We start from the raw sequence: 10,955 nt of genomic DNA, 5'->3' as shown, positions 1-10,955 counted from the left end.
GTGCAACACAAAATGTATTTGGTGCCACTTAACTGTTTACATTATAACATTTAATTTTGTTACGTGAATTTCATCACCACAACAAATAAACTATTTTTTTCATTTTTTCTTTGTCTATCCTTAGTTGCATAACCATCATCTCTAGGTGATATATGGTCATTTCTCCGGGAAGAGATTTGCTCTCTGCATGGAGGACCTCCATAATTCTCTCTTCCACATGATATGGGACCTTTAATATTAAAATGATGAAACATTATATAAAGAACATCAAACCTGAAACACTATTTTCTCTTCTCTCAGACAACTTTTTAAAAATTATTTCTTCTATGACTCCATTCTTCGTTCCCTAAATTACTAGACAGTCATGACACTGTGAATATTTCCTATGGCTTGGGATAATCTCATGGCTTCCACAAGACCAGTTCCTCTAACGAAGCTGAAGGCAGACATTAATTCTTAGGTAAAAGTTCATTTGTAATGGTAAATAACTACTTAGATATTATTTTTCTTTTCATATGAATTACTGGTGACTACCAATGGCACAGGGAAAACATGTAAAACCATCAAACTCTTCATGGATTTTAAAGTTTACATGCATTGTCCTTTCTGAGCTGAAGAAGGTAAATTTTCCCATGTTGTTCAATCCAGCTCACACACACAAATACCTTTGAAAAACTGCATGCTAAATTTTTATATAAAAGTTCTCCTATATCTCTAAGTGTTTGGCTCTATCTTACATGTTGACAAATTAAAATGTACTAGTGAAAACTTTCTAACTAGGGCCAAGATTTACTTTTATTGCAATAAGCAATACTGTTAAAGGAGTCATTACAACATTGTTGCTATTTCAAAATAGAAAAGGTTCTCCTTTAATATATTCTTCACTTGCTATTTCTTACAGGTCAGTCTTTCACCTATGATATGTTCACTGCCTAATTTTCCAATGGAAATGTGTTGGCTTGTGTACCCTGAAGCCTAACTTCATAATACCTAACTTCACCGATACTCTACATATGAAATGTAAAATTGAAAATGCCAGTTTTCAATTTCCTCCATATTAGGATGGAAGACTAAGTAATAATTTTAATTTGTTCTGCTTAAGCTTCTTTGCTAAGAAGTTTTATTTATTGTCTTGCTTTCTTATGCTGAGTCTGCAATCTTACAATTCTCCTTCTGAAAAATATTCAATCCTACTTCTATTCAATCCTACTTCTCACATCAGGTTGCTTAGTTCTAAATTCTCACCTCAAATAAATTTAACTCTTACACTAAGGATCTTGTATTAATGTTTAAACATCCAGGTATGATCTTAATTGTTGATTTACATGCCCTTATATTTCACAACTCTGAACTTCTGTGATATCCCCTTAATTCAAGAATATTGGACTCCTTCATGTCTACCTTTCAAGACTTAATTTTATTTTTAAATGATATTTAAGGCCAGTGACTGATTTTCTGCTAAATGCTCTTGCAGTTCTTTTAAATCTTCATATAAGCAGTAAGAATGTCTTGCACATAAGCATTATTGAGATATCAGAATCTGGATGGCCAAAAAATGTCCAGGACCAGGTGGATTCACAGCCGAATTCTACCAGAGGTAAAAGGAGCTGGGATCATTCCTTCTGAAACTATTCCCATCAATAGAAAAAGAGGGAATACTCCCTAACTCATTTTATGAGGCCAGCATCATCCTGATGCCTATGCCTGGCAGAGACACACAAAAGAAGAGAATTTTAGACCACTATCCCTGATGAACATTGATGCAAAAATCCTCAATAAAATACTTGAAAACCAAATCCAGCAGCACATCAAAAAGCTTGTGCATCATGATCAACTGGGCTTCATCCCTGGGATGCAAGGCTGGTTCAACATATGTAAATCAATAAATGTAAACCAGCATATAAACAGAACCAATGACAAAAACCACATGATTATCTCAATAGATGCAGAAAAGGCCTTGACAATATTCAACAACCATTTATGCTAAAAACTTTTAATATATTAGGTATTGATGGGATGTATCTCACAATAATAAGAACTATCTATGGCAAAACCACAGCCAATATCATACTGAAAGGAAAAAAACTGGAAACATTCCCTTTGAAAATTGGCACAAGGCAGGGATGCCCTCTCTCACCACTCCTATTCAACATAGTGTTGGAAGTTCTGGCCATGGCAATCAGGCAGGAGAAAGAAATAAAGGGTATTCAATTAGGAAACGAAGAAGTCAAGTTTTCCCTGTTTGCAGATGACATGATTGTATATCTAGAAAACCCCATCCGCTCAGCCCCAAATCTCCTTAAGCTAGTAAGCAACTTCAGCAAATTCTCACGATACCAAATCAATGTGCAAAAATCACAAGTATTCCTATACACCAATAACAGACAAACAGAGCTAAATCATGAGTGAACTCCCATTCACAATTGCTACAAAGAGAATAAAATACCTAGGAATCCAACTTACAAGAGATGGGAAGGACCTCTTCAAGGAGAACTACAAACCACTGCTCAATGAAATAAAAGAGGATACAAACAATGGAAGAACATTCCATGCTCATGGGTAGGAAGAATCAATATCCAATATTGTGAAAATGGCCACACTGCCAAAGGTAATTTCTAGATTCAATGTCATCCCCATCAAGCTACCAAAGACTTTCTTCATAGAATTGGAAAAAACTGCTTTAAAGTTCATATGGAACCAAAAAAGAGCCCGCATTGCTAAGTCAATCCTAAGCCAAAAGAACAAAGCTGGAGGCATCATGCTACCTGACTTCAAACTATACTACAAGGCTACAGTAACCAAAACAGCATGGTACTGGTACCAAAACAGAGATATAGATCAATGGAACAGAACAGAGCCCTCAGAAATAATGCCACATGTCTACAACCATCTGAGATTTGACAAACCTGACAAAAACAAGAAATGGGGAAACAATTCCCCATTTAATACATGGTGCTGGGAAAACTGGCTAGTCATTTGTAGAAAGGTGAAATTGGATCCCTTCCTTACACCTTATACAGAAATTATTTCAAGATGGAGTAAAGCTTAAATGTTAGATCTAAAACTATAAAAACCCTAGAAAAAAGCTAGGCAATACCATTTGGGACATAGGCGTGGGCAAGGACTTCACGTCTAAAACACCAAAAGCAATGGCAACAAAAGCCAAAATTGACAAATGGGATCTAATTAAACTGAAGAGTTTCTGCACAGCAAAAGAAACCACCATCAGAGTGAACAGGCAACCTACAGAATGGGAGAAAATTTTTGCAATCTGCTCATCTGACAAAGGGCTAATATCCAGAATCTACAATGAACTCAAACAAATTTACAAGAAAAAAACAACCCCATAAAAAAGTGGGTGAAGGATATGAACAGACACATCTCAAAAGAAGACATTTATGCAGCCAAAGGACACATGAAAAAATGCTCATCATCACTGGTCATCAGATAAATGCAAATCAAAATCACAATGAGATACCATCTCACACCAGTTCAAATGGCAATCATTAAAAAGTCAGGAAAAAACAGGTGCTGAGAGGATGTGGAGAAATAGGAACACTTTTACACTGTTGGTGGGACTGTAAACTAGTTCAACCACTGTGGAAGTCTGTGTGGCGATTCCTCAGGGATCTAGAACTAGAAATACCATTTGACCCAGCCATTCCATTACTGGGTATATACACAAAGGATTATATATCATGCTGCTATACAGACACATGCACACATAAGTTTATTGCAGCACTATTCACAATAGCAAAGACTAGGAACCAAACCAAATGTCCAACAATTATAGACTTAATTAAGAAAATGTGGCACATATACACCATGGACTACCTTGCAGCCATAAAAAGTGATGAGTTCATGTCCTTTGTAGGGACATGGATGAAGCTGAAAACCATCATTCTCAGCAAACTATCTCAAGGACAAAAAACCAAACACCGCATATTCTCACTCATAAGTGGGAATTGAATAATGAGAACACATAGACACAGAAAGGGGAACATTCTCACACTGGGGCCTGTTGTGGGGTGGGCAGATGGGGGAGGGATAACATTGGGAGATATACCTAATGTTAAATGACTGCTTAATGAGTGCAGCACTCCAAAATGACAGATGTATACATATGTAACAAACCTGCACTTTGTGCATATGTACCATAAAAATTAAATAATAATAATAATAATAATAATAAAGACTGCTATTGATAGAAAAAGATAATACGAGGAGAGTACCTCAACCTAGGTGCTGGGCTCTGCAATATGTAATAGTCCCCTCTTGACAAAGTCTAGAATATAAAGGAGAGTCACATTACCGAGATTTTGCAATCAGCGGTATGTTACAATTTATTTGGTGAGAAGAAAACAGACAGGAGAGGTGGGTAACATGATCTGGATGTTAAGCCAAACGATATTTTACAATGTCTCATGGGGGCAGGGCCCAGGCAAGAGAGAAAAATCACCAAGCTTATAGGCCCAGAGATATGTAACACTATCCTCTTTTGGCAGGGTCCAAGCAGAAGAGTCAAATTTTTATGATTCTAACCCAGCAATATGTCACAATGCACCCATGGGAAGAAATTTAAGCCAAAATGTCTTAACACCTGGGCACTATGCCTAGTAATATGCCAAGTCTCCTTGTCTTTGAGTGTGACACTCAAAGACACATACAAAGGCTGTGTATATGAGAGTCACAATCTCACATGTTTCCTGGGCCACTGCATGACCCTTTACAACATTTGAAGGCTTTATACTTCATGAATGAGAGTTGCAAACCACTCTGAGGCATATATGCTGCTATAGAATCATGATATTCCATATTTTACTAAACCAAGGCATGACCGTCAACATCTCTCCTATATGCTGGTTTCAGGGATGAGATTATTATTATGCCTATGAGCTGGGTCTAGAAATGTCACCATCCCACCTGTGGCCAGATTCACTTATGAAAGTTACAGCTCAAATTTTTTACTGTATTCACTTGTTAGTATCAGGACCTCAACAAAAGGCATTGTGAATATAAGATGGACACAACTTTTCCTTTCACCTCAATGTGTAGTTGAGAGTCACAATCTTAACATTTTGATGGGTCATGTTATGAAACTCTCTGTACCACACAAGAAGTATTTATGATATGAGTTAGCTCTATAAACTTCTGTGAGCTTTGTATAAATATCCAATGAAAGACCTTACCTATTGACCTAAACCTACTCATGAGAGGAAAAATGTCTCCTATTGGCTGAATCCCATTATAAGCTTGATCATTTTGTCTTTGAACTGAAGGAAGGTACGTGTCATAATTCATTTTTTTGTGTGTGCAATACCTAGGCAGAACATTAACATCACTTAGGTTCTGTGCAGAACAATAATGCCCTCATTAGGCAGGGGCTAGTAAAGAGGGTCACATTAACTGGGGGATGGAGCTTAGTAAATGAAACAACCACATGTGGAAGAAAGCAAGCAAAGTGATGAAAGAAAAAACACCTATAGATTGGGCCAAAAATATGTCAATACACTTTCTATGGCTCTGGCACAGGTAGGAGATCATGTCATTAGGGTGCTGTGCCAATAATATGCCATAACTCCCTCTTTATACATGACCTAGGCAGAAGAGTAACATTATCTGGTTGCAGAGCCATAAAATATGGCAAAATGTCTGTTCATGGGCATTGTTCAGCAACAAGTTGAAAGTCACATTACCTAAGTGTTGGGCTCAATATGTCACAATATGCCTATTGTTTAGGTATATTACATATACCTAGACAATTTAACATGTGGGCAGAATCCAGGCTGAAGAACCACATCACCTGGTCCTAGGTCCTGAGATATTCACAAGCCCTCTTTAGAAAAGTACCCAGTCAAGAGAGTTACATCACCTAGGTGCAAGTTCCACACTTATGTCACAATGCTCCCTGTGCAAGTTCCACACTTATGTCACAATGCTCCCTGTGGCAGGGCCAAGCAGAAAGTCACATCAGCTACGTGCTGAGCCCTGTTTTGACTGCGTCTGTATAACCCAAAGACTTAGCAAAATATATGTGAGTGTTATGAACTTTTGTGATGTTTGTACAAGCAGCTGATGTAGGACGTCATGCATGTCTCCAAACATAGTTATAAGAGTCAAAATATCCCCTATTGGCTGAGTTCACATATGAGAGTCATTATCACTCCTGTGACCTGTGCCTAAATATATGTTACAATTTCCTCTGTGGTTATGAAGCAGGAAGAATGGCCACATCACCTAAATGCTGGGCTAGAAATATTCCAGTATTCTCTTTGTAGTAAGTATCCTGTTAGAAATGTCACATAACTTCTGTGTTGTGTCCAGCTCTGTGGCATAATTTCCCTTGTGGGCAGTGTCCAGAGAGAAGAGGAGAGTCATATCACCTAAATGATGGGCTCCAAAATAAGTCACAATGCTTCCCTTTGGGAAAGCCAACAAGCAAGGTATTAATATCATTTGGATGCAGTGTTTAGAAAAACTACAATTAAGCAGGGTAAAAGCAGAAGGGAGAGTAATGTTATCTAGATAATAGATCCAGAAATATGTTAAAATTCCCCCAAGGACATTTTTAAGATAGAACATTCATATCACCAAGATACTTGGCTCAGGTATTTGTGAAAACCTCATCTGTGGACTATACCTAGGAAGAATTATTAAATCACTCAGAAGCTGGTCAAAGGTTTAGGTCACAATTAGGCTTGTTGAAAGGTTTAAGAATAAGAGTCACCATCCTGAACATTAGGTTGTGTTATATTCTCAAATGTATGGCACAATATCACCTGTGGCCAGAGAGGGCAAGAATTTCACATCAACTATGTGGGTGTGGGTCCAGTAAAATGTCAAAGTACACTTTGTGGGCAGGACCCTGGCAGAAGTGTCACATCACCTGGATGCTGCTTTCAGTGACATATTAAAATCCAGTATGTGTTCAGGACTTTGGCAAGAGAGGAGACTCACTTAGCCTAGGCAACTGGCCCAGGTATATGTCACAATGACCCTAATGTTCAGTACCAAGGCTGGAGAGAGACCTCAAATTAGTGCTGGGTGCAGTAATGTGTCACAATTTCCCTGTGGTCAGGGTAGATTTAAGACACAATTCTCCTTGTAGGCAGTTTTCAGGCAGATAATTTACATCACCTGGGTGATTGTCCCAGTGATACATAAAAGGGCCCTTTGCAGTGGGGGCTCTGGAAGCAATTATACATTGCTTAGGTGCTTGTTTCACATATCGCACAATTTAATCTGTGGTCTGGGACTAGAAAAGAGAGTCAGATTATTCATGTGCTGAGCAAAGTTACCTCTCCTTTTTATACTCTCAGAAAGATTTGGAGATAACTTTCACAACTTACACAAGTCTTTCTTTTGTGAATGTGATGAAATTTTTTTCTGTGAGTTGGGTTGAAGTAGAGCAGTCACAATCTCCACAATAAGCAAGATCCATGTATAAGAGTGCCAATACCACTTGAACATCATTTTCCAGTAGGGGAGTCACAGCACTACAGGCATGTTGAATCATGGTTCATGTTACCAAACCACTCATAAATCAGATCCATTTATGAGAGTAATTATTTCAACCTTTGACTGCTTTTTGTGTGTGAGATTTATTACCTCATTCCTAGGCCCTGTTCATGTGTGAGAATGTCAATGATGTCAGCTAGGTGTGCATTGAAGGGTCACATTCTCACTTCGTTGCTGGTTTCTGTTATTACAATCTTTGTATCATTAAGGCTTTATATGATATACTTGAGTGTTATAATCGTTCGTGAAATTTATACAAGTGAAAAACACAGGACTTTACCAATGGCCATGAGACAGGCTGTGAGAGTCAGTTGTCTCCACTGGATGGGTCCAGGTATGAGAATTATTATTGTGCATGTGTGCTTAAACCTGGTATATGTCACAACTTGACCTGTGAGCAGAAAAAAGCCAGGAGAGTCACATCACCTGGGTGCTGAGCCAGTTATGTAGTATAGTCTTACCTGTAGGCTGGGGCTAATCAGAAGAGTCATATCACATCATCTGGGTGCCAAACCAGTGATACAGTATATACTCATTTTTTGGATGGGCCTACTCAGAAGAGTCATATTACTTGGGTACAGCTTCAAATAGTATGTCACGAAGCCCACATGGACAGGAAAGAAGAAAAAGAGAGGGTTCCACCAATTCTTTTCAGCTCTACAATATGTATTAATTTCTTATCTTGGAAGAGTCTACAATATGCAGGAGACCCACATCACCTAGGTTTTGCAGTCAGCAGTATATCACATCTTCTATGGTGAGCAGGGCCCAGGCAGGAGAGGATAGTCACATTTTCTAAATATTAAGTAAAACGATATTTCACAGTGTCCTCTGGGGGCAGGGCATGAATAAGAGAGACAAATGACCGAGCTTAAAGGCCCAGAGATATGCAAAAATATTCCCTGTTTTCAGGGTCCATGCAGAAGAGTCACATTATTATGATTTTAACCAGGCGATATGTCATGGTTAATCTATAGGAAGGAATTTAAGCCTAAAAGTCTCAACATTTGGGTACTAGGCCTAGTAATATGCAGAACTCCTGGTCTTTCAGAACTCCAAGATTCACTGTGAGCTGGGTGTGAATAGGAGAATCACAAGCTCACATGTTTCCTAGATCACACTGTATGTGTGACACTCTACAACCTTTGAAGGCTTTATACAGTATTCATGAGAGTTGCAAGCCATTCTGAGGCTTACATGCTTGTATGAATTTTTACATATTGTCCTAAACACAGATATAATAGTCAACATATCTTCTTTAGGCTGGGTTTAGGGATTAGACCTGTTATTTTGCCTGTGAGCTGGATCCAGAAATGAGTCACCATCCCATTTGTGGCCAGATCCACACATGAAGATCACAATTCTGACTTTGTGCTCTATTGACTTTCAGACTCAGGAATGTAATAGTGGTCTTTATACATGTGAGATGGTGACAATATTTGCTTTCACCTGGGTGTCTAATGGAGAGTCCCAATCTAAACTTTTGCTGATCTCTGTCATAAAAGTCTCTGCACAACCCAAGAAGTGTATTCATTATGAGTTACTGTTGTAAAGTTTTTGAGCTTGATACAAATATGAAACAAACACAGGACCTCATCTATTGCCCTAAGCCTAGTGATGAAAGGCAAAATATCTCCTATTGGCTGAATCCCAGGATAAGTTTGACCATCCTACCTGTGAGCTGAAGTAAGGTATATGACAGAGTCCCATTTGTGATCAAAAAAGTAGGCAGGAGGATAACATCACTTAAGTTCTGTGTCAAGCATCATGTCATAATGTCCTCTCTAAGAAGGATATAGGAATTAGGGTCACGTTAACTGAGTTTTGGACCCTGCAATATGACAAAATCCCATATGTGAAAAAAGAAAAAACCTAGAAGTGAGAACCAAAATGCCAACAGAATGAGCCCAGGATATGTCAAAATATCTTCTATGGCTTTGGGACAGGCATGAGAGTCACATTATTAGGGTGCTGTACCCAGCAATATGCCATAATTCTTCATATATGCAGGACAGAGGCAAAATAGTAATGTTATCTGCATGCTGGGCCCTGCAATACGTCAAAATTTTTGTTTGTCTAATAACCTGAGTGCTGGGGTCAGCAATATGTCACAATCATCCCATTGTAAAGACTAGGCAGGAGAAAAGAGTCACTTCACTCAGGTCTTGGGCTCAGAGATATAACCCACTGTCCACAGTCTCCTTTATGCAGGGCTCAGGTAGAAAAGAAGAGTCATATCACCTATGTACTTTTCTAGTTATATGTCACAATCTAACATGTGGGTAGAAAAACCAGGAAGAAGACCCCCACACCGACATCACCTGAGTACAGCCTCAGGTAATATGTCACCATGCCCAATGTAAACATGTTCAAAGAAAAAAAAAAAGAATTACACCACAAGCATGCTGAGCTCAATAATATGTAATAAGTCCCTCTTTTGGCAGAGCCCACGACAAAGAAGGGAGCCATGTTACCTAAAATTTGTGCTCAGTGGTATGTCACAATTTCTTCAGTGAACAGGATCCATGCACAAGAGGAGAGTCACATTACCTAGTTGCTAAATCCAGCAATATGTCACAGTGTCACCTGTGAGCAAGGCACTGGCAGGAGAGAAATGTCACCTAGCCAATAGGCTCAGCAAGAGGTGAAAATATCTGCTGTTATGACATAATCTCGTGATCTTACCTTTGACACCATTATCTGTTTTCTAGTTGTGTATATGACAGTCACAAACCCCTGAGTGTGCTTGCCATTGTATGATACTTTCTGCAACATTTGAAAACTTTATACAACATGCATGAGAGTTGAAAACTTTCTGAGGCCTATATACTTATATGGACTCATAATCTTACATATTGCCCTAACCAAGGTATGTCAGAAAACATGTCTTCTATAGGCTGGCATCAGGGTTGAAATCATTATTAGATCTGTGAGCTGGGTGCAGAAATGATTCACCATCTCACCTTTAGTCAGATTCACTTATGAGAGTCACAATTCAAACTTTGGGTTGTATTGACTTGTTCGATTCAAAACCTCAAAACTAAGCTTTGTAAATGCTGGATATAAGTTAGTGTTGTAAAATTCTGTGATCTTTGAACAAACATGAAATGGAGGACCTTAAATATTGATTTAAACCTAGGGGTGAGAAGCAAAATATATCCTATTGGCTTAATCCCACAATAAGCTTGATCATCCTGCCTTTGAACTGAAGCAAGTTACATGTCATAATCCCATTTGTGGGCAAAAATCTAGGCCCAAGATTAATATCATTAAGGTGCTGTGCCAAGCAATATATCACAGTGCCCTATCTAAGCAGGGCCTAAGAAATGAGGTCACATTAACTAGGGCTGGAACCTACAATATTACACAAAAACACATGGAAGAAACCTAGCAAACTGATTAGTGCCAAAACACCTACAGAATAAGCCAAAGATATG

Source organism: Homo sapiens, chromosome Y (assembly GCF_000001405.40).
Source record: "Homo sapiens chromosome Y, GRCh38.p14 Primary Assembly".
NCBI classification, from domain to species: Eukaryota; Metazoa; Chordata; class Mammalia; order Primates; family Hominidae; genus Homo; species Homo sapiens.
This window is presented reverse-complemented; position numbering follows the sequence as displayed.